General features: G+C 43.4%; 1 protein-coding gene across 1 annotated transcript in view, besides 2 other annotated features; it reads right to left on the bottom strand.

Moving 5' to 3' along the window:
• SNX9 (sorting nexin 9) overlaps window positions 1–3,627 on the bottom strand; it is a 121,832-nt gene extending 118,205 nt beyond the window's left edge. Inside the window, exon 1 of the mRNA NM_016224.5 lies at window positions 3,427–3,627. Coding sequence (NP_057308.1) covers window positions 3,427–3,438 — 12 coding nt within the window. The 5' untranslated portion in view covers window positions 3,439–3,627. The remainder of the gene's footprint in view (window positions 1–3,426) is intronic.
• Window positions 2,799–2,848: an enhancer, noted in NCBI's record as "active region_25339". NCBI's record gives its function as "activates an Ori minimal core promoter by ATAC-STARR-seq in GM12878 lymphoblastoid cells {active_cell/tissue: GM12878}" and the evidence as "EXISTENCE:reporter gene assay evidence [ECO:0000049][PMID:35858748]".
• Window positions 3,499–3,818: a silencer, noted in NCBI's record as "silent region_17727". NCBI's record gives its function as "represses an Ori minimal core promoter by ATAC-STARR-seq in GM12878 lymphoblastoid cells {active_cell/tissue: GM12878}" and the evidence as "EXISTENCE:reporter gene assay evidence [ECO:0000049][PMID:35858748]".

Raw genomic sequence — 27,194 nt, 5'->3', positions numbered from 1 at the left:
AACTATAATATATATTTATATATAAAATATAATATATATATAAAATATAATATATATTTATATATAAAATATAATATATATATATAATATAATATATTTATATATCATATATATATAAAACCTATAATATAAATAGGTTATATTTTGGCTGGGTCGAAATATAACCTTTGGAGGCTTCCAATAAAGGTCAAGACTAAAATGCTCTGCAGCTTTTGTATTAATATTTGTAAAACAAGACTTGATTGCACTGAGTGAGTGTATACACTTAAACTGAATGCAGCACTCTACTGAGTAAGGAGTAGAAATAGAAAATAGATAATCCCCTTAAAATGTGCAGTTACTGATTAACTTTCCTTTTTTTTTTTTTTTTCTTGAGATGGAGTCTCACTCTGTCACCCAGGCTGGAGTGCAGTGGCGCAAAATCGGCTCACTGCAAGTTCTGCCTCCCGGGTTCACGCTATTCTCCTGCCTCAGCCTCCCGAGTAGCTGGGACTACAGGCGCCCGCCACCACGCCCAGCTAATTTTTTTTGTATTTTTAGTATAGATGGAGTTTCACCGTGTTAGCCAGGATGGTCTCGATCTCCCGACCTCGTGATCCGCCCGCCTCGGCCTCCCAAAGTGCTAGGATTACAGGCGTGAGACGGCGCCCGACCCTGATTAACTTTCTTTAGCAGTGAAGGACTGTCAAACTAAAGTTCTTCTTCTAAAAGATAATTTCCTTTTTTATTGTAAAATATAGTAGTGGAGTTTTTAAAAATCCCAATAGTTCAGTGATAACCACATCCTTAATACGTAAGAACAAACAAGAAAATTGTATCTGAAGATACTATAGCCAAGTCTCTGATAAATTCAAAGGGAAATCGACATCCCTTAAAATATCCAGATACTGAATTTACTTTTCATCAGTTAATACTTATAGCAACAGCCTGAGTGCCACTGGAGCCTACATTTTTATTAAAAGTTAGTCATTACTACTAAGCACATTCTCCCCACCCCTTGAAGAAGACAAAGAAAAAACACAACTACTCAGGTGTGGGGAAGGAGTGTGCATATGGGGGAAGGGAGGAAAGCACCAACTTGACTCTCTGGGAACAATTAAAAAATGAGACTTTGGTTTGACACAAGAATCACCAGCATGTCAGAAAACAAAGGAAGGGTCTTCTTTTAATAACTGCTTCGTTGCTCTTCTTTTTCTTAAAATGGAAATGGTTTGTCACAATGTAAACATGGAAATGAGCACCATGTGGAACAGTGATTAGGCAGCCGAAAGAAACTAACAGAACTACTGGAATTTGCCTTTGGAGTGGTGTAGATAACGAAGTAGGAAGTCCTTACGCATGCTTTAAGGCTCGTGTTTAATCAAAGACACATGCAATTCGAGATTAATATACAAGAACCACTTTTCGATTTTTTGGAAAAAAATTAAGTTCAGGATTAACTATGAAATAAAAATTTCACTATATATACCTGCACTAGTTGCTAAACTGCATTCCACTTAAAGGACAGTACAGATAACATGCCTCAGTAGACCAGAGTGTAAAAACACACTGACCACCACTAGACAGATCTCTATGTCATAAACCGTCTTCTCTTTTTTCAAACGGAGTCTCGTCTTTTCTTTTTTCAAACGGAGTCTCGCTCTGTCGCCCAGGCTGGAGTGCAGTGGCGCGATCTCGGATCACTGCAACCTCCGCCTCCCGGGTTCAAGCGATTCTCCTGCCTCAGCCTCCAGAGCAGCTGGGGCTACAGGCGCGCGCCACCACGCCCAGCTAATTTCTGTATTTTTAGTAGAGACAGGGTTTCACCATATTGGCCAGGCTTGTCTCGAGCTCCCGACCTCAGGTGAACCACCCACCGCGGCCTCCCAAAGTGCTGGAATTACAGGTGGGAGTGAGCCACCGCGCCCGGCCTATAAACCGCTTTTAAGGTTGCAAGATGAGCATGTACTAGGATGTGTAACTGGTAATTTCTGGAATGTCTGGCAACAAACCTCAAAATCAAATTTCCTTAGAAATCCTTGGCCTAAGTTTTATTTTTAAAAAGGTCAACACAAAATTAATACGTTAAAAAGGTGGCAAGTTCTATCGCATTAATAAAACCAAAGCACAGCACAGGCAATAATATATTAACAAGAAGGTAATTATTTCAGTAACAGCAGCAACAGGTTCCCTGGAGGAGAATCCCCATTTCTCTACAAACGCTGCACCTAGATGGATTCAGAGCACAAAATTTACCACAGCACAACATCTAGCAGACCGAAGTCAAGCAATGCTGATCTTTCAAAGAGATTTCACATTTCTTACCATTTTCTACCTTAACACTCCACAAAAAAAGCAAACACCTATCGAAAAATAAAAAATAACGTTTCTAGCAACCCAAAAGTAGCTCAGAGATCTCAAAAACAAATAGACAAAGGGGTGCTGATGCTAACAAAGTGACATTACAAAAACTAAGTGCAAAAGTAAACCCACTCCTCACAGTGTATCACAGATCAGTTAATGGCTCAGGTATAGAGCCTCCTCCCCCAGGTCCTCCCTTCCGTGACCGTGACTTCCCCAGTGGCTATTCTACATCAAGTAACTACTGAAAACGCCCAAGGAAAAGGAGCGGGGGAGGGTGGCTTTTGAAAATTCAGGTAGCCAAGAGTGACTGCTAATTTCATAAACAATAACGTAAAACAAGCAAACCACCGCTCCTAGCCAATGACGAAGCAGGAGTCAAAGTTCCACCACGTAATTCGGGCCTGGGCCTTTTTTCAGGCAAACACGTAATCGAAAGCACAGTCATTTCCCTCTTGATATTTTATTCATGCCGGCAATGCCATTCACAATGAAAAGGTAGCAAAACAAAAGAAAAAAATAACAGCAGCGAAGGCAAAGGGGCGCGGGGCGTCCCAGCCTCGGTCCCTCCCCGGCCGCGAGCCCCCGCAGGCCGGGACGGGAAGCGCCGCGTCCTCTCCGCCGAGGTCTCGACCCCCACCCGCCCCGCGGGGGCGAGGGTCCCCCAGGCGGCAGCGGGAGGGGACGTGGGGGCGGCGGGGACGCCGGACGCCACAGAGCGCCAGTCGCCTCGGGGGCCTCCCCGGGCTGCGGGAAGTTTCCGTCCCGCGGCCCCTCCCGGCGAGCCCGCCGCAGCCCACGCTCAGGTGCAAACTTCCCAAACCTCGCTGCGCCCGGGGTCCCAACCCGCGCCCAGACCCGACGCCGTCCCCCGGTGCGATCCTGGTGGTCTGTCTGCACTGCCCGCCGCACCCATGCCCAGAAGGGACTGGCTGGGCCGCGGACCCGCCCGGGGACTCCACCGAGGAAGCGGAGTGGCCCCTCGACCACCCCTGGCCCCGACCCTCCCCGCGGCCCCGGCCCCGACCCTCTCCGCGCCGCCCCGGGCCTGAGCGACCGGCCCGGCCTGCGCCGCGCGCCCCTCACCTTGGTGGCCATGGCGGGCGGGTCCCCCGGCCCGGGACGGCCGGCTCGTCTCCCGCGCCGCGGATGGTGATTCTGAGCCGCGCAGGCAAAGGCAAGGGCGAGGGCGGCGGCTCCGGCTGGGCCCCGGCGCGGCGGCCGCTCCTCCGCCTCGGCCCCGAGTCTCGACGCTCAGGCCCAGCCGCTGGGCGCTCGGCTACTCCCGCGCCGCACGCTCCTGCAGTTCCTGAAAGTCCCCGGCTGCGCGGCCCCCGCCCCTGTCGGCCGAGCCTCCCATTTACCGCGGCGCGCGCGACGCCCGCCGGAAGCGCGCCCTGGGCCCTCGGCCGCGGCCCGGCCTCCTCGCCTCCTGGCCGCCCCCGCGCCGCGCCGCCGCCCCGGGCAGTCACCGCCGCCGCCGCCGCCGCCGCCCCCGGGCGCCCTTGGTCGAGGCTGGGAGCGGCGTCCCGCGCAGCGGCGGGGTCCGGACGGGCGCCCCAGGCCATGGCCCGCAACCCTGCGTGGCCGCCCCAGGGGAAGCGATCCGCGGCCCACAGAGCCGCTCGGGGTAGCCGAACCCCGACTCCGGTTCACGCTCGGCCGGCGCCGCACGCCGTGGCTCGGCGCTTTCCGTGCATGAGGCGGGAGGGGGCGGCAGGAACTCTCGACGCCCCGGGCAGACAGGAGCCCCGCAACCCCGCTGTCTTTGCCCCACGCCTGGGGTGTTGCGGGGTCGCCGTGCCCTTGGCCGAGTACCCTGAGTACCACATAAACAGCTGGGAAGGAGCGGAGCGATGGCTTCCTGGGCCTCTTCCTCCTGCCCGGAGGCTCCCTCAGGCCGGGGTCCTGGCTTGAAGCCCCTGGGACGGGACGGTGGGGGGTTTCGTTCTGTGACGCCCCGTTAACCTCATTCTGGAATCTTGATAAGCTTAAAAATACCGGAGGGCCCGAGAGGTTTGGGGGACAACAGGCTCTCTGAAGTGGAAACGAGGTCTCTAAAATTTTCCATCTTTCTGTCAGTGTTTCTTTCCAGAGTTGGAGATATATATATGGGTGTTATGAATAAACGAATGACTTGAATTGAGCAGCAAGATTTTTCACTCAAGGACAAAACACGACTGGAAGATGTGTCTTAATTGGCATACTAGTGGAGTGCTTTTTTATTATTATGAGGGATATATTTGTAAGAAGAGACAACTATCAAATGTAAATCTCTGGTGTTTAATGTCAAGTTTGTGTCTTCTTAAATACATTCTATTTGACCTGAGATTTCACTAGTTATATTCAATAATGGGGTTTAAAATAGATACGGTATTGCAGAATTTTCTGTGAATTTTTGTGTTTGTTGAGCTCATGGTTAAGCTATAGTCATCATAATATGCATAAATAGTTGTCTTTCTCCGTAAAAAAAAATATTGGGAGGCCAACATTCATTGACGGCCTGCTTGCTGTATACTAGGCTTCCACATCCCCATCTCATTTAATCCTTATAAGAAACATTTGAGAAACTCATTATTGTCCACTGTTTACAAAGAAGAGCGACTCAGGGATCACTTAAATAACTTGCCCATTTGGTAATACTTATTCAAATCGAAAATGACCGTAGCCTTGGACCCAGCAGCCCTCCTGGGAATTTATCCTGTCAAACACTTGTACAAGTGTTCAAAGATGTTCATCAAAGATTGTTCTGTAATAACTCCAACCAGAAAGCAACCTATGTGTTTGTTAACAGGACTGTTTCAGTAAATAAGATACATCCATTCAAACAAAAATACTAGGAAGCCCGTAAGAAAATGATAATATTCTAAGAGGTGTTAAGAAAGATAAAAAGAACATTATGTATGGTACATTTATGTAAAAAAAAAAAAAAAAAGGAAATATGTGACACATTCCTAGAAAATTTCTGAGAAAGATTCGCCAGATCCTGTTGTCAGAGTTTTTGACCATGTGTATATATGACTTCATTTAAAAACAGCAGTTATATTTTAATAAACAATGGAAGAAATAACTTGGCTAAGAGCACACACTAGTATGTGGAAAAGCCAGGATTTGAACTCAGGCAATGTCATAAGTAATGAGTTTTCCATATTCTTTTAAATGTGAAGGCTGGGTACAGCTCTCTCTGCAGCCGTTCAACAATGCATCCCTTGATAGGAAGGTGCAAAGTTAGGGGCACACCTGTGAAGACAGGCCTTTCCACATGCTCATCTGGCAAATCCTATGCAAATAGTCATCCTGGGCACCCAGCACCATGAAAGCAAGAAGACTAGAGACTTCAAGCTTTTCCCACCAGAACAATTTCATAACCCTGGTTTTATTTTTTAGAAGTAATGGTGGAGGGCTAAGGTGGAAGGATTGCTTAAGCCCAGGTGTTCAACACCAGCCTGGGCAACATAGTGAGACCTCATTTCTAGAAGTTTTTTGTTGTTGTTGTTGTTTTAAAAAGAGCAAGACTGTGAAAAACAAATGAAAAAGTACATAAACAGAGATAAACATGGCCGGGCGCTGTGGCTCACGCCTGTAATCCCAGCACTTTGGGAGGCTGCGGCGGGCGGGTCACGAGGTGAAGAGATCGAAACCATCCTGGCCAACATGGTGAAACCCCGTCTCTACTAAAAATACAAAAATTAGCTGGGCATGGTGGCACGCGCCTGTAGTCCCAGCTACTCAGGAGGCTGAGGCAGGAGAATCACTTGAACCCGGAAGGCGGAGGTTGCAGTGGGCCGAGATCGAGCCACTGCACTCCAGCCTGGGCAAGACTCCGACTCAAAAAAAAAAAAAAAAAAAAAGAGATAAACATGTGCACTTTCACAATAAGCCACACCGAAGGGATCTTGAACATAACTAAAATCTTTTTCACATTTTTAGTAATGAATTGGGTAGTATATCTCCAGTAAATACTGCTAAACTTAGGAGTTTTATTTTTATATACGTCAGTCAAAATCAACATTACTTCATGAATGTTATAGAGGAGACCCACTTTCATAGAATATATTTGTATATAGAGAGAGAGACTGGGTCTTGTTCTGTCACCCAGGCTGGAGTGCAGTGGCCCAATCTCGGCTCACTGCAGCCTCCGCCTCCCAGGTTCAAGTGATTCTCCTGCCTCAGCCTCCGCAGTAGCTGGGATTACGGGCACCTGCCACCATGCCTGGCTAAGTTTTTTTTTATTTTTTATTTTTTATTTTTAGTAGAGACAGGGTTTTGCCACGTTGGCCAGGCTGGTCTCAAACTCCTTATCCTAAGTGATCCGTCTGCCTCAGCCTCCCAAAGTGCTGGGATTACAGTCGTGAGCCACTGCACCCGGTGGTGGCGTTTGTCTTCTGCTCCCACTTGATCAACCATGCATATCTCTCTTCTGTCCACCTCCGTCCTTTGAGCGAGCTTCCTTAGAGTTGATTCTCTACGCAGGCCTGCCTTTAGAACCCAGAACCCAGAACCCTGGGCCATGCTAAGTTCAGATTTTCTTCTACAGCATGAACTTCCATTACTCCAGGGGTGAGAACACAATTAGTTAAGCAATTGGATTTGCATTTGCAGACTGCGTTTGGTTATTACTAGATTGCACTTTCAAAAGAAAAAGACCTGGAGGCAGAGCAACAGAGCCACTCTGTTTAGGCTTTGTACTCTAGCTGCTTTTTTTTTTTTTTTTTTTGAATCATGCCACAGGAGGTAAAGTGATTAGGATTCACAGGAAGCTTCGTCCAGCCACACAGCTGGGGGGACAGGAAAATAATGACCACCACCTCTTCCCTGCGTTTGTTCAGTATGGCCAGGTGTTTTTATTCAAAATTAGATTCTCCTTTGGTTTTTAAGAGCTCAGAGCCCAACTAAATGCTTGGTCAACTAATGGGAAACTAGCATGGGAAAGTGCAACTATGGGAACTAATGTGGAACGGAGTGAAAATGTGTGATGGTCACCTAATGTAAGGATCGGAGGATGAGAATAATGTGTAACAATACAGAGTCAGCCTGGGTCTGGCACAAGGGGATACCTCCTCTCACTTTAGGGCATGAATTTAATGAGGTTAAAGAAAACCTTGGGGTGACCTTGAAAATAAACGTGGAAAGGAGTGCAGCTGGTGCCATTCCAATCCTAATAAACGTATGACGTCCTCACCTTGGACTGGATGCTGTTACAGGTGAGGGAGACAAAAGTCCCTGCTCTCTTAGAACTTAACAATCTGTAGAGGGTGGGGGAAGTCAATAAACTACAAATAAATGTCTAATGTGCCAGGTGCTTTTATAAGTGCTCTGAAGAATCTTTATAGGAATAAAGAGAAGCAGGAGAGGTTTTTTCCTATAAGGTTTCCCCTTGGCATTAGACTAGCTGAATGTATGTATGAAAAGTGTATGGTTTTAAAATTATGTTTGTTTTAGTTGGTTAGCTGATTGGTTGGTTTTCATTTTTGTTCCATTTTGACTAAGTCACATTTCTTTCTCCATCGTCTGGGAGACACAGAGCCGTAAACAGTAACGGGACATAGTGTCCAGAACTAGAAATTGAGCAGAAATCTGACTGCTAGGACCTGAGCAGTCCAGGAAGGGACAGTTGGCATGGGCAGAGAGAGACTGGAGGCTAGGGAGGCTGCATGGATGGCAGAGGTGGCAGCAGCAGGCGGTGTTAGGCTGGAACAGGAACCGTTTGCTCAAGGTTCTATACTAGACTGTTTGCTGAGTTTGGGTAGTTCCGACTCCCAGAAGGACTGAGCTGTGAGGTGAGGGCAGCAAGAGAAGATTGGCTCACCAGTTGGCTTCCCAAATGAAGTCCCAGCCTGTAGGATCCCTGGTGTCTCATGAAACTTTGCCCTAGGATATTGTTTTAATTCTTTGACCTGTTAAGGACAGGCTGGCGTGAGTCCTTGGAGACGTACTGGCATTCAGTGATTGGGCACAAAGAAGTAACAGTGGATATAGGACATTTTGCTAGTTCATGTGTCATTGCTCAAGTTACAAACTGTGATGGTTAAAACTGAGTGTCAACTTGATTGGATCGAAAGATGCAAAGTATTGATTCTGGGTGTGTCTGTGAGCCTGTTGACGAAGGAGATTAATATTTGAGTCACTGGGTTGGGGAAGGCAGACCCACCCTTAATCTGGGTGGACACCATCTAATCAGCTGCCAGCACAGCTAGAATATAAAGCAGGCAGAAAAACGTGAAAAGAATAGACTGGCCTAGCCTCCCAGCCTACATCTTTCTCCTGTGTTGGATGCTTCCTGCCTTTGAACATCAGACTTCAAGTTCTTCAGTTTTGGGACTCAGACTGGCTCTCCTAGCTCCTCAGCTTGCAGGTGGCCTATTGTGCGACCTTGTGATCATGTGTGTTAATACTTAAAAAACTCATATATATATGTATATATATATATGTGTGTGTGTGTGTGTGTGTGTTTGTGTATATATCCTATTAGTTCTGTCCCCTCTAGAGAACCCTGACTAATACACAAACTATAGAGAGTTCTTTTTTTTTTTTTTTTTTTTTTTGAGACAGGGTCTCACTTTGTTGCCCAGGCTACAAACCAGTGATGCAATCACAGCTCACTGCAACCTTGACCTCCAGGGCTCAAGTGCTATTTATTTATTTATTTATTTATTTAGAGTCAGAGTCTCCCTCTGTTGCCCAGGCTGGAGTGCAGTGGCACGATCTTGACTCACTGCAACCTCTGCCTCCCGGGTTCAAGCAATTCTCCGACCTCAGCCTCCCAAGTAGCTGGAATTACAGTGCCTGCCACCATGCCCAGCTAATTTTTGTATTTTTAGTACAGATGGGGTTTCACCATATTGGCCAGGCTGGTCTCTTTGGCGAGGCTGGTCTCAAACTCCTGACCTCGTGATCCACTGGTCTCGACCTCCCAACATGCTGGAATTACAGGCGTGAGCCACCACGCCTGGCTCAAGTGCTACTTTTAAAGCTAAAAGCCCCACATAACATGCCAGCACACACTGACACACTCTCATATCCTTGCTTTATGGAAGGCAACTCTAATGACAGTGCTTGCTAAATACAAGTACAGGACATTTGCTGTGACCGCCATGATTTAGAGCCAGACACTGCAAATTACAGCCTCCATCCCTTGTGAGTCCTGTTCTCCTTCCCCAGGGCTTTCATCAGAAAGCCCACCCACTGCTGAGTGCTGAGTGCTGAAGAGATGGCCTTGGTCGTGGCATCAGGCATCCTTGGCTTGAAACTCACTTCTGCTGCTTGTCACCTGTGTGAACTTGAGCAGGTACTTTCATCTTGATCCTCAGTACCAATGTCTGTCTTGTCTGTTCAGGCTGCTATAACAGAATACCATAGACTGGGTGGCTTATTAACGACAAATGTTTATTTCTCACAGTTCTGGAGGCTGAAAAGTCCAACATCAAGGCACCAGCAGATTCAGTGTCTGGTGAGTGCCCCCTGGTTCATGGACAGCCATCTTCTCGCTATGTCCTCACATGGTGGAAGGGTGAACAAGCGCGGTGGGATCTCTTTTATAAGGCATAACTCCAATCATGAGAGCTCTGTCCTCATGACCTGATCACCTCCCAAAGTCCTCACTTCCAAATACCATTACATTAGGGGTTAGGATTTCAACATCTGAATTTAAGGAGGACACAAACATTCAGTCAATAGCATAGCAGTGTTGCCCTGGGTTTGTTCTGAAGAGTCCGTGATTAACTGGAGTAGCAGGAAGTTCTAACAGATCTTAATAGTTATTATAACGATGTGCTGGGCTTCATGGTGGTGGTGGCCAATATCTTCTTGCAGTTCTCAGTTCTGTAACAAATTTCCCAAGATGCTGTTTTCCAATGACTACAGAGTATTGATCACACCCAGTACCTGTATTTGCTCACTCCTGTGGCATTCCTTTCTTCTTTTTCTTTCCAGTCATTCATTTCGTTCCTCAATATCCTCTATCTTTTACCCCACTGTATTTCATTTCAGTCCCTTGGTGTATTTCATCTCTTCTTTTCCATGTCTAGAGAATGTTCCTAACTCTAGTTTCTCAGGATTTTTCCAGGCACATCAGTAACTTTTCTGCTTTTTAAAATCATTAAAGCTTTTGATGAAGTAAGAAAATGTCAAAATGCAAAATATCCTTTTTAGTAAACAAGTGCATAAAGCTCACAATTCCAGTAAATACAAACTCCGCATTAGTTTCAAAACAGGTAACAAGTTTATTGTTATACTCTTTAGAAATTCTAGCTTAATTTAAAAAATATTAAGTAAATGACTGTTTAGAAACACAGATGGTTCTTATAAATAGTTATGATCTACCCGTTACCTCCCGTGTCAATATTTGCATAGCAAAGGGGCGGTTTTCAGGGGGCAATTGTGTGTTCATTGACTGGAGGGATACACACAAGAGCCCTGGCCTGGTGCTTGGCACTCGAGGAGTTTAGGAGGCAGGGGTTCCTCTCATGGCTGGTGTGGTCTATTAGCTGCTGCTTTTTTTTTTATTATTATACTTTAAGTTCTGGGATACATGTGCAGAATGTGCAGGTTTGTTACATAGGTATACACGTGCCATGGTGGTTCGCCGCATCCATCAACCCGTCACCTACATTAGGTATTTCTCCCTCCCCTAGCCCCCCACCCCCCGACAGGCCCTGGTGTGTGATGGTCCCCTCCCTGTGTCCATGGGTTCTCATTGTTCACCTCCCACTTATGAGTGAGAACATGAGGTGTTTGGTTTTCTGTTCCTGTGCTAGTTTGCTGAGAATGATGGTTTCCAGCTTCATCCATGTCCCTGCAAAGGACATGAACTCATCCGTTTTTATGGCTGCATCGTGTTCCATGGTGTATATGTGTATTAGCTGCTTCTTATTTCACGCCTAAGCTATCTATTGAGAGCCTACAATGTGCAAAGTGCTATAGGAGATAAGCTCAGTCATGAAAAACGCATTTTGTGCTCCTAGAACTTAAAATCTCATGAGAAAAAGAAAACCTTCCTCTTAACACCCTAAGAGAGCCCTGGGCCAGGTGTGGTAGCTCATGCCCATTATCCCGACACTTTGGGAGTTGGGAGTATTGTTTGAGTCCAGGAGTTCAAGACCAGCCTGAGCAACACAGTAAGACCCTGTCTCTACAAAAAATAAAAATTAGCTAGGCGTGGTGGCATGTGCCTGGAGTCCCAGCCACTTGGGAGGCTGAGGTGGGAGGTGGGAGGATTGCTTGAGCCCAGGAATCCGAGGCTGCAGTGAGCCAAGATCAGGCCACTGCACTCCAGTCTGGGCAACAGAGTGATACGCTGTCTAAAAAAAAAAAACCCACAGACAGCCCTGGCTGGCTCTTCACTCTTACTTAGTGTCCTCTGCTCCTTCCTGAAAACAAAACTCTTCTATTGTGGTGACGAGAACCACTGGGAGAAAAGAGAAACACCTGTGTTTTAGAGAACCTGTGGTTACGGAAATAAAGAAGGAGAAAAAGCAGAGAAAAGCAAAACAATTTAGGGAAATCAGTCAAACCGCACTGCTCCTGCCTCAAACTCCAGCACACCAACCCCAGGGCCAGCCTTGCAATCAGACCCAGCCTCCAAGCCTTCACTGAAACTTGGCAATTACAGACTAAGTTAGCATATTCTTTTGAAAATATAATTGTACTGGGGAGAAAGGGGGGATTAAGGACCTACTGATCTCTTGCATAAAACTGGCCTGATATTCAATAGATTGACTAGACAGAAATGGAGAGGAAGTGAATATTTTTGTACCATGGTTACTGACTCTGTGAGGAATTGGATATCCGTGATCTGAGCAGCCCAAATCACTTAAGATAGGGATACAAGTTCTTTCCTCAGGGGACAGTTATCAGGACTGGCTGCATAATTTGTGGGGCCACAGCATAATGAAAATGCAGGGCCCCTCACTGAAAAATTATTGAGAATTTCAAGACAGCAGAAGAGAAGTAAACTAAGTATGGGGCCTTTTATTCTTGAGGCCCTGTGAACTGTATAGGCCCATGACACTGGCCCTGACAATTGTTTTTTTCACAGATAGTTGTTGCTTGCAATTGGAATAATCAGGAAATTTCAAAAGAAGTGTAATCTGAGCTTTCTTGAAAGACAGGTACATTTTCCAGTTTTCAAGGAGGAAGGATGGCATGAATCAAGACACAACAAGGAAGCAGTTCAGGCTGCATTTCCCTGACATCGGCTAGACCATGTTTACTGGCACAGAAGTTGTCATGTGGGAATAAGTCTAGAAGGATGGCTAGAGGACAGATTATGACATTGGGAGGCCATGGGAAACCATTAAAAATTATCTTAGTAATGTTTTTGGAAGATTTGGCAGTGGCATATAGGATGCTTTGGGGCAGGCTCACTCTAGAGGAAGACCAGTTAAAAGGCTCTTATGTAGTTGAAGGCATTCATTCGCCCAGTGGTTATAGCCACACTATTCTGAAAAATTTCCTCCCTTCCCTTCTCCAAGAACTTGGAACTGTTAAATAACATTTACTGGAAGCCATTGGTTTGGACTGAGCTCCTGCACTAGGCCTGAGAGACCAAACCAAAATGGAACGACTCATGCTGAAGTTTCATGCCACCAAGCCAAAACTACATTGTTTATCTGACCTTCTAAAAAATCAGGAGAGAGAGAGAGAGATAATAGCAATTTCCCAAACAGGCCAGTTTTAGCTGGCACAGTAAGGAAGTTCCTTCTGCTTGAATCTTTACAAGGAAAGTAACTTTGAAAGGACCAGTGCGCGTTTTGTTCTCTGATACTGCTTTCCTCACCCCTTTTCTGTCTGGAAAGCCAAAGTCCTCTGCTGTATAGCATATTCTATAGTGTACCATGAAGTGTTGCCTGATTCTAGAATTGCAAAGAAAAGCCAGTTAGGATCTTGAAACTAAATTTGTTGTAATTGCGTCTTTTGACAGTATCTGGTGACCACAAAGGACCCAAAGCACACTGCTGACAACTCCTGAGACCCTCTGAGGAATGAGGAGAGGCGCTGCTGACCCCTTTTGAGGTCTCCTGTCTTCCTCATGGAGCCCTGAGGGTTGTAAATTCCTCTCCTCCCAGAGCTAACTGTGCACTGAGCTGCCGCCCCCACACCCTCTACCTCCTGATCTTTTTGGCTTTCAAACCCAGGGCTAGTGTGTGCTGTGAGAACACATGACCCTGGGCTCACTACCAAGGGTTAGTTTATGCTGTGAGTGCTGGGGAAGAGAATATGACCTTTTGGGGTTTGCAGTGGCTGACAAGTCACTGGCAAGAGTGGATGTCGTGACAGAAACAGGACGGGGTCCTGTAGGGAGGCCTCGGGTGTCTGACTGGGTCTGACAGAAATTGGCAGAATTGCCATTTACTGTATGAATTTTGACTTTCAGAAATTCTTTGTAGGAATTTTGTACTCTATCCTTTTCTTTTTCTTGCACACAGATCACTGATCACTAACAGTAGCTGTGTTGACATTTAAATCATTGTGGGATTGCTTTTGTGCATGGTGATAGAAATTTATCTTCAATTTCTTAAACATAGCTAATCAGTCAATTAATCATCATTAACTGACAAAGTCACTATATCCTCTCTGATCTGCAATGCCAACTGCATCATACTACATGTATGGGTGTGTTTCTGGCTTCCAGATTCCATTCTATTGGTGTATTTCCTATCTCTATGTCAATGCCACTTTGTCTTAATTACTCTATTTTTATAATATCTTATAGTATATTGTCTATTACAACAAATAACCCCCAAATTTCAGTGGCTTAACTCAAAATTTCCCCCACTCCCAAAGATATTGGTTGGTTGGGAGGCTGGGGAGAGCCCTGCTCTGCACAGTCATTCAGGGACCCAGGCTTTTCCATTTAGTGGCTTCCCCAAAGTCTTCAGGGGCCTTCACTGGATCATCACATCAGCATCTGGCTGGCATATAGGGGAGGAGGGAAACCATTTACACCCACTTTACACTGGCCAGGTCCAAGCACTTGGCCTCATCTAAGTTTTAAGCAAGGCTGGAAGTGCAGTCTAGTTGTATGCCCAGAGGAAGAAGGAAATGGGTTTGGTAAATACACTGTCTGCCATAATCTCACACAAGGACAAAAAATTAAACATGTAACTAAATTGATCTTACAAAATTTTCTCCCAATCTTACTATTGTTTCTCTATTTCCTAGCTCTTTGATTAATTGGACATGTATTTGTGGAGAGCCCACTAGACTTTTGTGGTAGGCAGCCCCTAAGATAGCCCCCAATGATACCCTTTTCCCCCATTCATTCCCTGTAAAATCCCTTCCCCTGGAATGTGAGCTGAACTTATTGAAATGTTTTTAATGAATGGAATCGGGTTGAAGGGATGGGTGTCACTTCCAAGATTAGGTTATAAAAAGACTGTAGTTTCCATCTTGGTTGCTCTATGATTCCCTGTCTTTCTCTTTCTGATTACTAGCTACCATGTCATGAGGATATCCGGGCAGCCATTGGAGGAGGTCCATGGCCAAGGAACTGAGGTCAGCCTGCAAAAACATGACTAAGTTTGGATCCTACTGAGATTTCTGAGGCCTGCCAACAGTCACATGACTGAGCTTGCATATAAATTCTCAAGCCCTAGTTGAGCCTTGACATAAGTGCAGCCTTGGGTGACACCTAACTGCAATCTCAAGAGAGACCTTCAGTCAGAGGCACCCAGCTAAGTCATGTCCCAGATAAATGTGCATTGTTTTAAGCTGCTGAATAGTGGAGTAATTTGTTTGGTGGCACTAGATCATCAATATACCTTTGTGTTAAATACTGGGGACAAAAGAGTTAACAAGGCGCATTTTGCTTAAGGAATCACCATGTTCTACCCCCAAGCATGAAATCTTAGGATCACCTTTGACTCCGACTTTTTAAAACATGAGTTCCCTGTGGAGTCACAAAGTTTGTAGTCTAGTGACCTCCATTATCTCTAACTTCCACATTTGAAGGTAGCCCACACTGACTCCCTATCTTATCTTTGTACATTTTCTTTTACCTTCCTAATCATCTTACACTGCATTTGTAGCAATTAGCCTCTACTCCAATAATGCTTTTTTATTTTTTAAGCAACTATAATATATTGAATAATTTGTACAGCAATACACTATCATATCTTCTGGATGGCAGAGTGGGGTGATCCCTAATTGTGGCTCTAGCATAGACTGCACTAATGACTCTTAAGTCTGAAAACCTCTTAAGGAGCCCAGGAGAGCCATCTCTGGAGGTGACACAAATGCAAACTGATTTTCATCAAGCCACTCTTTAGGCTCAAGCATTTTGACTCCTCATGACTCCAAGAAAACTGTACTTTTCTTTTTTTGTGAGTTGGTGTTAGTTGCATCTTTACTCACTTCAAGGAAGGTGAGTTGTTTGTTCCATAAATAAGGAGTGAGGAAACACAGGCATCAATAAAAGGTGATTCAAGGAAAAAAAATGGTATCAAACTATAGTTTTTGTTTTTTGTTTTTTGTTTTGGTGACAGGGTCTCGCTGAAGTGCAGTGATGCTATCGTAGTTAACTGTAGCCTCGAATTCCTGGGCTCGAGTGATTCTCCCACCTTAGCCTCCTGAGTAGCTGGGACTACAGGTGCATACCACCACACCTGGATAATTTTTTTATTTTTTATTTAGAAATGGAAGCTCACTATGTTGCCTAGGCTGGTCTTTAACTCCTGGGCTCAAGTGATCCTCCAGTCTTGGCCTCCCAAAGTCCTGGGACTCCAGGCATGAGCCACTACACCCAGCCAAACTACAGTTTTAAATGAGCTTTGCCAGAGAGAGATTGCATCAATTACTATTCAGCAGGAATTTACAAAATTCCTTCTGTATGTCAGACAGAAAAAAAAAAAACCCAACATCAAGGGTTCCGTTCCTGAAGATTTCATAAGTCAGTGGAGAAAGGAAGAATAAGCAAATGGTTACAATGCAATAACCGAAGAGTTAAGGGAACAGTTATCAGTTAGATTGATTAGAATGACTTCGCTTGCAAGTAGCCTGGGCAGATTTTATAGTTAATTGATTCCACAGCTCAACAGTATCATCAAAGACCTTGGAATTTTTTCCCAACAGCTTTATTAGGGAGTAATTTATAATACAATTCAGTGATTTTAAGTGTTTAATTCATTGAGTTTTGAAATATATAGAGACAGCTTACCACCCCCACAGTGGAGATACAAAACATCCAAGCAAGTTTCCTTGCATCCACTTGTAATCAATTTTCTATCACCAACCCTTGTCCCAAACAACCCACTTTCTGTCATTATATTTTTGTCTTTTATGATATAATGCCATATAAATTAAACCATACTGTATGTAGTATTTTGTGGCAGGCTTCTTTTACTTAGCATGATATTTAAAAAAATTCATTCATGCAGTTGTATATATCAGTGGTCATTCTTATTTATTGCCAAGTAGTATTTTGTTCAATGGATATGCCACAATTTGTTTATTCATTTACTCCTCGATAGACATTTGGGCTGTTTCCAGTTAAGGGTTATAGTGAATAATGTTACTATGAACATTGCATACCAGTGTTTTTGTAGACATGTGTTTTTATTTCTCTTGAGTATGGACCTAGAAATGAAATTGAGTGATCATATGATAAGAGGATGTTTAACTATATAATAACATGACATACTGTTCCAAAATGGCAGTACCATTTTCCATTCCCAATTCCCAACAGAAACATGTGAGATTTCTAGTTGCTCCACATCTTCACCAGCACATGATACTGTCAGTCTTTTTAGTTTTTGTCATTCTAGTGTGCATGCAGTTGTATCTCATCGTTTTCATGTGCATTTCCCTGGCAACAAACAATGTTGAGCATCATATAATATAGCATCTTTTGTGAAGTATCTGTTCAAATCCTTTGCCCATTTTAAAATTAGGTTTTTTGTCTTATTATTTAGAAGCAAAATTCTTAATCTGTTTTAGATATGTTCTTTATCAGATATTTGTTTTATAAATATTTTCCCCAAGTTCCTTTTTATGTATTTCTTGGCTTTTTATTTTTAATGGTATCTTTCGAAAACCAAAATAAGTCCAACTTATCATTTTTTTCTTTTACAGTTTATGCTCTAAGAAATCTTTGCCTATCATGAGATCATGAAGATTTTCTCATTTGTTTTATGGCTTTAGCTCTTACATTTAGGTCCATGAACCATTTTGAGCTAATTTCTGTGTATGATGTGAGCTAAAGGTTGGGGTTCATTGTTTTAAGTATGCAAACATCCAGTTGCTAAGACACCATTTGTTGAAAGGATTGTCTTTTCCCCCGTTGAAATGCCTGGACAACTTTGTTGAGCATTGATATGAGGTCTGTTTCAGGGCTCTCTATCCTGTTCTGTCAGTCTGTATGTCTAATCTTCTGCCAGCACTGCATTATCTTGAACATTTTTGGTTAATATTAAGTTACCTGATAGAGTCAAAGGCCTAAGCTTTCTTTTTAATGGGAAGACTTTTTGTTACAAATTCAATTTCTTTGGTTGATAGAGATTTATTTGCATCCTTTTTTACTTTGAGTCAGTTTTGGTAAAATGTGCCTTTCAAGGAATTTTTCATTTTATCTAAATTACCAAATTAATTAACATTATGCTGTTAATAATATTCCCCTATTATCCTTTTAATGTCTATAAAATCATTAGCGATGTCCTCTCTTTTATTCCAATTACTGTTGACATGTGTATTCTCTGATGTTTTCTGGGCATTAGGTGCTGCTGGTGGCTGCATCCTGCAGGAGTTGTGCTCTAGAGAAGATAAGAGCCCTGCAGAAGCCTGGTGCTGGGCACACTGCCCACACATCAGGAGTTCACTTCTGGGGAAGCCATGCACATCGTGAGCATACCAGAACAGAAGGAAAAACTCCTTGCTCTTCCAGGTGCCCTCTACTGACATAGCTTAATATCAAGCTATATGGCAAAGAAAACATGTTTAATGGGCTCAGATCCATTTTCACAGAGCTGGCAAAAAGGGTGAATTTGGAGCTGAGAGGCAAAAACATCATAAACAGACATACAGTGGTTTGTTAGGCAACAAAAGCTAACTGATGGAGATGTATATTAGACCTTTGAGTTTATCTTCTAAGTCTTTTAACCTGTTTACATTTTCCCCATCTCTTTATCTTTCTATGTTGTACTCTGGGATATTTCTTAAAGATCCAAGTCTTTCCTCAGTAAGTCCAATCTGTTGTTAACCTAGCAATTGAATTTTAAATTTCAAAAAATATATATTTTTATTTCTATAGGAGCTATATGGATCTTGTTATATAGTCCTATTTTTAAATGATGATATCTTTTAAAAATATAATTTTAAAGACTTATTTTACCAGCCATTTCCAGTTCTATTGTAATCTCAAGTTCTTGCTAATCTTTCTGTTTATTGTGTCTGTGGTGAATTGTTTCTTCCTGCAGTTTATAGTTTTTGTTTATGAGCTCATTTCTTTAGGATTTTTTTTTTCCTGAGAAAATCACTTGTATTTTCAACTAAGAAAATATCTTTGGGAAGTATCTTATATTTTATTCTGCCAGGTAACCAGAGATTTCACCAGTGTGAGACTAATTTTCATATTAAAATTTTAGCTTGTAAATTTTCACACAATGAAGGCACTGTAAATTTTGACTCCACACCTCTGCATAATGCAGGTTTGGAACTTCAGTATTTCACTGGGAATCTTTTTCCTTCCAGGACCCTGGCTAGGGTACACTTTATTGTTGTTTTCTTGGGAGAATATAGTTTTTTTTGGTCCCTCTTTCATTGAAAGGATAGCTTCTCCAGAGTCTTAGTTTATTTGGGGGTCTTAGTTCCAGCTCTTTGCCTCATGTGGGCCCAGGATGACACCTCCTGCCTTTACTTGAGTATTAAAATCCCTCCCCTAGCCTTTGGGGCCTAAATGCAAATCCAATTCCTGACCTCATCCCAATATCTGAGACCTCAAGTTATAAATTTACTACTCATTCTGACATTAAGTTCCTTCTTTGTTTCTGGTATCTAAGCTTTTGAGCTCAGCTATGCATTTTAAATAATTTTGCTATATTTTACATAGTGTTTCTATGTGTTTGTGGGGAGATGTGATAAAGAGAGAGTAGGGTCTGCATTAGCTAAGTATGCCATGTTTCTGGGACCTGAGTTTTAGATCTTTCATCATTTTAGGATTTACAATTGAATATTTTAAGTGACAGAGAAACATGATCAAATTTATTTTATAATATTCTGGTAGATCTAATAATGTAGAAGAAAGTGACTCATGACTTGGGGATCAGTTAGAATGCAATTGCAACAGCCACATTTTTCAAATGTTGAGGAAGTGAAGGGTCTCCCTTCTCCCTGCCCCACTCAAATAGAGTCCTTGTCCTATAACTGTGCAGGAAGAGTGTGAACTGTCATGGTCAAGGGAGGCTTAAGGAGGAGACGACAGCTGCTCCTATCTTTGAAGGATGGAGGGAAATTACTTACATTGTGTGAAGAGGAAAGAGCCTTCCTTTAGGTTGGAAAGGCACAGGGTGAAGCCAAGAAAGGGTAGTGGTAGGAATGCAGGTAGCTCATTAAAGGACTGGGGAGGAAGGCAGCTGGGCCAGAGTGGAGGGGCCGAGCAGCGGCCAGTGGAAGGCAGTTGGAATAATCAGCTGGAACCATCTTGGGAAGGGTATTTAATCTTCCTACAGGTATTCTCACTGTTGGTGATTAGTAATCACATTTTTGCAAGCACTGTACTGGGCTTTTCCAGGGCTGAAGCCAAATATATATATATAGTTTAGATTGACATAGAAAGGAAGTTGGGTCCAAAAATGCAGTTGTCCCAGTTTTCAGATCATCCAAATGTTGTGTTGCCATGACAACTGCATTTAAATTTCAGAAACACAAAGTAAATGTTTGGCAGGTGATTTAAATCATCTGCTTCTGACTACATCAAAACAAACAAACAGTTGGTTTGCATGCTACCAGCTGCCATTTTTTACTTGATTTTAAGATTATTTGGTAGACGGTAGGATACAGATGGACGTTTGATTTGCTTTATATTTTTTAAATGAGATTCATTTTAGAGTTGTAGACCATGTGGGTATTTAGAGGGAAACGTTAGGATGCTTCCTTTATTTTTTCCACTAAATGTTGCAAAGCCAAAATTATATCCATGGAATAATGTTTCACAAATGTGCTTCTCCCCACAATGATCAAATATTTTGGAGGGTTTGAGTAACTGTCACATCTGTTGAAGATAGGCAACTCAGTAACCTATGGCACATGCAGAAATGGAGGAAAAGAAATAAGGAGATGATGGCTTTACCAACTGGAGCAGAATAAGAAGCCAAGGAAAAGAAATGCCTTCTATTTTTTCTTTTTAAAATGATGAGAATTTATAGAGTAGCTCAATTTTAGGCTAACACTGTTTCAGCTGTTTATCCTTTCTTGTTAAGAGTCTGATGAAAGATATAACCGTACTTTTATTAATTTTTGTGTATGGAATTCCAATAAAACATTCAAATAATAACTTTCAACTCACAGACTACAGTGGGCTGAGTGCCTATTACTACGACAGGCACTTACTTCATACCCAGCCTGTGGCCGGGAAAAATTGATGCATGTGTGAAGCTACAATAGATAGCCCTGATCTTACACATCTGGGTACACTCAGCACCTGACCTAGTGCCTGACAGAGGATAGGCACTCAACAAAGCTTTGCTGAATGGTTGAATATACATGTAAAAGAATACAGAAGAAGGTATGATAGACTAACACAAACTTATATTTAGATAATAGAGTATACAATGGGGGCTGTAGACAGGCAAATTGAGTGAAAATATTATCCAGAAAAACATTTTGAGCAAAATGGAGTGAATCTAAGTTTTATTTCACCTCCTCAGGTGGGAAAGGTCGATTTATTTAAACTTCTATAGTTTCCAACTTTTTATTTGTGTCCTGTGTTCTGTCCTCATTTGTGGTGGACCATGATGGACCTGGCAGCTCCATTGATCACAGCACATTCATCAGTTGGGTCCAGAGTCCCCTACATCTGGAAGTTGGAGCAGACCCTCTCCACACTCTGGGAGCCCACATGGAGGCAGGTAATTGGCAAGGCTAAGGGCAGCAGTGTGTGGGTGGTTTCTTAGAAAGTCAAGCCAGGAGGCATGTGAAGGATGGTCAGCGATGGTAGAGAAGGCAGCTGGGAAGAAAGAGCAACCAGGAGGTTCAGGTAAGAGTCCAGGTGAGAGACGATGAGAACCTGGGTCAGGATGGCGGCCCCAGGGATAGAGGGGAGAGACACGGGAGATGGAGCGATTGGTGACTGCTGGGACACCAATGAGTCAGAGGGAGGGTCAGGATGAAGGCCAGCTCCTAGCTTGGTTGATGAGTGGCTTGTGATGCAGTCCCCCAACCTAGCCAAGGCCAGAAGTGGAAAGCACTGGGTGGGGATGGGGAGCTACCACTTCATCCAGTCATAAAACCATGCTTACATGACTCGTGCCTCCAAATCTCACCAAGGCCTTCCTGCTGAACTTACAAGTCCTTCGTAAAGAAAAATTATTTTTTTTGGTTATCTGTAAATGTAATTGTGCCAAATGTTTATCTTTTTAAAAAGCTGTGTAGCACCTGGCTCCCTCCCTGCTTCTGGGGCACCCCCCTCATGGGTGGTATTGGTGGAGCCCCGAGCACTGCTCCTCCCTACCGCAGTAAAGGCGGGCTCCTCCCTCCCTCCACGCTCCAGCTCACATCCTGGATTCAACCAACTGGATGCTGGGGTGATTATGTTATGTGTCAACTTGGCTAGGCCATGGTACTCAGATGTTTGGTTAAGTGCTAGTCTAGAAATTACTGTGAAGGTATTTTTTTAAATGAGATTAACATTTAAATCAGTAAACTTTAAGTAGAGCAGATAAAGTGTGGGTGGGCCTCATCCTATCAGTTGAAAACCTTAAGGGAAAGACTGATGTTCCCCTAAGCAGAGGGAATTCTGCCAACAGACGACTTTCAGACTCCAACAACATCTCTTCCCTGGGTCTCCATCCTGTTGGCCTACTTCCTCTCTCTCTTTCTACTACTGATTGCCTGTGTTTATAGGGAAAACCCTAATACAGATACACTCACCAAGTCCTTGAAACCAGCTAGAGGAATGCATAGGAGGAGAGAGGATGCATTCCCAGTAGTTTCAGCAGAGTAAAGGGCCAGCACTGAATACTTTTGTGAGAACATTTTGGGTGGGAGTACTAAGAATCAATTTGCCCCATTCATAAGTAAAACCAGGACATAAAAACCATAAACAAGCTGCTTTCATTACTATCATCACAGGCAAGTCCCTTAGGCCTCTCCTTGATTCAGTAAACTCTCAACAGCCTTCTAATACATTCTTTCATTTTTAAAAAAGCTTAAACAGTCAGAGTTAGGCTGGGCGTGGTGGATCACGCCTGTAATATGAGCACTTTGGGAGGCCAAGGGGTGGATCACTTGATGTCAGGAGTTTAAGACCAGCCTGGCCAACATGGTGAAACCCCATCTCTACTAAAAATACAAAAATTAGCCGGGCATGGTGGTGTATACCTGTAGTCACAGCTACTCTGAGTAGCTGAGGCAGGAGAATGGCTTGAACCTAGGAGGCAGAGATTGCAGCGAGCCAAGATCATGCCACTGTACTCCAGCCTGGGTGACAGAGTGAGACTCTATCTCAAAAAAAAAAAAAAAAAAAAAGTCAGAATTAGTTTCTATTGCTTGCAGTAATGAGCCCTGTACAGTAATACATGTTCATTGTTGACAAATTGCAAACCCCAGAAAAGGACAAAGAAACAGAAGAAATTCACATACAAGCAAAATGCAACTAATTTAAACACTTTTCCATACAGACTCTTCGATACATGTTTTAAATAATTGCATTCATATGTGTATGGTGTTGTATCCTACTTGTCATTAACCACTGATAATTCTAGTGATGCTCTTGGTCCTGTTTCAGTCGCCTTGATGTATGCTTCCTGCTCATTATGCGTCTTTGTTATTTTCTTGGTTTGCATCTCTTGTCATGTGGGATATATGGTATCTTTTATTTGCTTTCATCTCCTATAGTAATTTTGATGTAGGCATTCTGTTTTAAGACTATGTGAGGTTACATTTAGGTTTATGAGCTACATGCTTAAATCAATTTCTCTCATTATTAAAGTTAAGAACAACTTTTCCCTTAGGTACAGAACCCTCTTTCCCTTCACACGCTCTCTTTTTTGTTTGTTATTTCTAAAATATGTGAAGTATTTCCTCATATAGATCTTTTTCAAGAGTTTTATTTCTGTATCAGTTTTGAAACCATATTGGAAAGAATTATGTGTATGTTCAATTGGCTTCAATACTTACAGCATGACATTCCTATTTGAGTGATGTTTTCAGGAATGTATAGGATGGCATATTTTTTGAGCCCTTGCCTATTTAAGACCATCCTTGCTACATGCACACACGAAAGACAAGTTAGTCGGCTCAGAGAAGTGTTGTCAAGCTATTAAAGGGGCCTTCTAATTGAGTTGAGTCAGAAACTACCTTCTCTCCAGCCATCCATTACTGTGCTGGTTCAGGGACCAGGGACGTATGGTTCACAAGGGTAATTTTCAACCCAACCTCCTCCACCCCAAAGCAGTGAAAATTTCCCTATATTCTGGAACATGGCTTTCTCCCCTCTCTAATGTCCAGGGGTGTTGCAAGTTCATCGAGTTTTGTGTACACTCACAGGTATTCTACTGGAAAGTTCGGGGGGGCCCACCAAGCAAGATCCGGAGTCTGCTGCCATATTAACCCCTAAATGCTGGCACTATTTTGTCAGCTTTTCTTAGCCCTGTTTTCAGTAGGTATTTTAGATCCTTTTCATCTGTATTAGTCAAACTACTTTGGTTGCAGATAACTTAAAGTAACTTGAATTCGCACAAACACAAAAAGGAACTATCCTATAATAATACAGGAAAGTTTCTTGGAACCCAAGGTTAAAAATGTTATTACTGGGTCTCAATGGGGAAGTGGAAAGTTCTTAGGACTCTGTTTCTTATTTCTGTTTTGCCCTGTAGTGCTTTATAAAGATTAACAGAAATAGCTGACATCTACTGAGTGCTTAGTCTATGCCATAACAACCCTCAGAGAAGGGGATTTTAAAGCATCACCTCCATCCTACACACGAGGAAAGTCAGACACAGAGAAATCAAGTTGCCCCATTGTCACCTCATTAGGAAGCTGCTGGCATAAGATTTGGACCTCAGCAGCCTGGTCCCAGAGGTGACACCCTGAAGCTGTTCCATACACAGATGGGTCCAGATTGGACACCTCTCAGAGTTGCCCCTCTACAGCCTCCAGCATCTGTTTGAACACCTTCAATAGCAGCTGCGGAGGGCAGAGGGGAAGATGAGGATCCCACTGGGGGCAGCCTTAAGTAAACAAATCATTCCCTATCTTAGTCTATGCCATAAGAACCCTCAGATATCTGAAGAACATCTTGAATGAACATCCGCCTCTCTGAGAATATTCCCATTGGCCAAGTTTCTGTCCCCTGGGGCCACCCTGAGCCCATCCAAACCTCAGTGTGCTCAACTGCCTTTGAGGTATTTGAGGACTGAATATTGTGGATGCTCTGGGCTTGGCAACCTCAATTCCCTCAACTCTTCCCGCAGGGATCTTTTAAAAAGTGTCCCATCATGTTGCTTCCTGTCTTCACAACATGCCTCGGATGGTAGAAGCCACCTTTGACATGACAAGCAGTTCTTTCTGTCAGAGCACGCGTTCTCATCAGACACAACAGCCACCTTCTTCTCACAATGGATATTTTGTGGGTTTTTTTTTTTTTAAGTTTTTTTGAGACAGGGTCTCACTCTGTTTCCCAGGCTGGAGTACAGTGGTGAGATCATGGCTCACTGCAGCCTTTACCTCCCTGGCCAGGGGATCCTCCCACCTCAGCCCCCTGAGTAGCTGGGACTACAGGTGCACGCCACCATGCCTAGCTAATTTTTGTATTTTTTGTAGAGACAGGGTTTCACCATGTTGCCCAGGCTGGTCTCAAACTCCTGGGCTCAAGAGAGCCTCCTGCCTCAGCCTCCCACAGTGCTGGGATTACAGGCACAAACTACCATGCCTGGCACACAGTGGATATTTTGTAATGTCCCCTCTATGTATAGAAATAAAAGCTACCCACACACATAATTTTAAAGCACACATAATGTCCCAATTATAAAATTAAGGAGGGATAAAAGAGAAGTAATTATGAAAAAATATGTAACATATAAATGCTCACGCACAGCTACTTTGGAAAACATATGAAACAATGTTTGCACCTGCTTATAATGTTTGGTTTCACAAGAAGTGAAGAAGATCAGAAGCCCGTCTGTAGAAACAGTATAGAAAATGAAAGAGTAAAGGGAGGTGTATGCACTAGGGTAAATAACAGGCCAAAATTATGTCTATATGATGCAAGAAAGAGAAGATAACCTCACCTGAAGTCATACGCCCAAAGAAAGGTAGACTGTCGGAAGTGGGCAAGTGTGAGATCCTCACAGGTGAACTCAGAGCTCACCTCCAAGTGTAGTGTCAAAATAATTTCTTGCCTTTTGACATGGGACAGTGTTGTGACTGAGAATGGCCAAGATCATAGCTCCTAGATGGAGCTCCTTAATTCACACTACAGAAAGCTTTGGAGACGTGGGCTTCCATGGTCAATGGAGCAGACAGAATGGACTGGAAAGAGACAGAGTGAAATAGGGGCTGGGAGGCTGTGGTAGACCTCTGGAAACAGCATCTGAGTAAGACTGAGAGACTGTAGGCAAGTAAGGAATGAGTCACCACAGTATGCAGTTTCACAATGTATTTCTTACCATTAGGTAACAAAAGTAATATACATTTAATAGCTATCATAAAATATTTTATTTATTTTGAGACAGGGTCCCATTCTGCCATCCAGGCTGGAGTGCAGTGATGCAGTCACAGCTCCCTGCAGTCTTGACCTCCTGGGCTCAGCCAGTCCTCTCACCTCAACCTCCCAAGTAGCTGGGACTACAGGCACGTGCCACCATGCTCAGCTGATTATTTTATTTTATCTTATTATTATTATTTTTTTTGGCAGAGACAGTTTTGCCGTGTTGCCCAGATTGGTCTCAAACTCCTGGGCTCAAGCAATCCACCTGCCGCAGCCTCCCAGGGTTGGGATTACAGGTGTGAGCCACTGCACTCAGCCTACAAAACATTTTAAAATAATTCTTTTAAAGTATTTCATGTGTCTTTGCTAATTTCATAATTTTTTGGTTGTCAGTTAAGATGAGACTCAAAGCAACTCTGTCACATGGTTGCTTACAAAAGTCCCAAAGGCAGAGTGATAGAGGTAGGTGTTTGGCTACTCAAATACCATGGACAACATTGCTATAGGTGATCTTATTTTTCCCAAATAGTGAGCAGCTTCTTAGTAGAGTTTTAAACAGATGAAGTACAAACTGCTCTCAATTTACATGGTAGTTGCATTCCTGGAAAATTCAGCAAATGTGAAAACTGTGAAAAAATGTTTTGTATTTCTATGTAAAATGGAGTTCTTAGGTGGAGATATTTAGGAAAAGTTTTCCCCCTCATGAATGCCTGTGGGATGCTTGAAAACCATGGAGACTTGGGACAATTCTTTATCTCATGGGCTGTCCACATTATAGCAGTGATATGGTTTGACTATGTCTCCACCCAAATCTCAACTTGAATTGGATCTCCCAGAATTCCCCAGTGTTGTGGGAGGGACCCAGGGGGAGGTAATTGAATCATGGGGGCCGGGTCTTTCCCATGCTATTCTTGTGATAGTGAATAAGTCTCATAAGATCTGATGGGTTTATCAGGGGCTTTTGCTTTTGCTTCTTCCTCATTTTCTCTTGCCACCA

Source organism: Homo sapiens, chromosome 6 (genome assembly GCF_000001405.40).
Source record: "Homo sapiens chromosome 6, GRCh38.p14 Primary Assembly".
Lineage (NCBI taxonomy): Eukaryota > Metazoa > Chordata > Mammalia > Primates > Hominidae > Homo > Homo sapiens.
The sequence above is the reverse complement of the archived record's forward strand: the minus strand, read 5'-3'. Positions and strand labels throughout refer to the sequence as shown.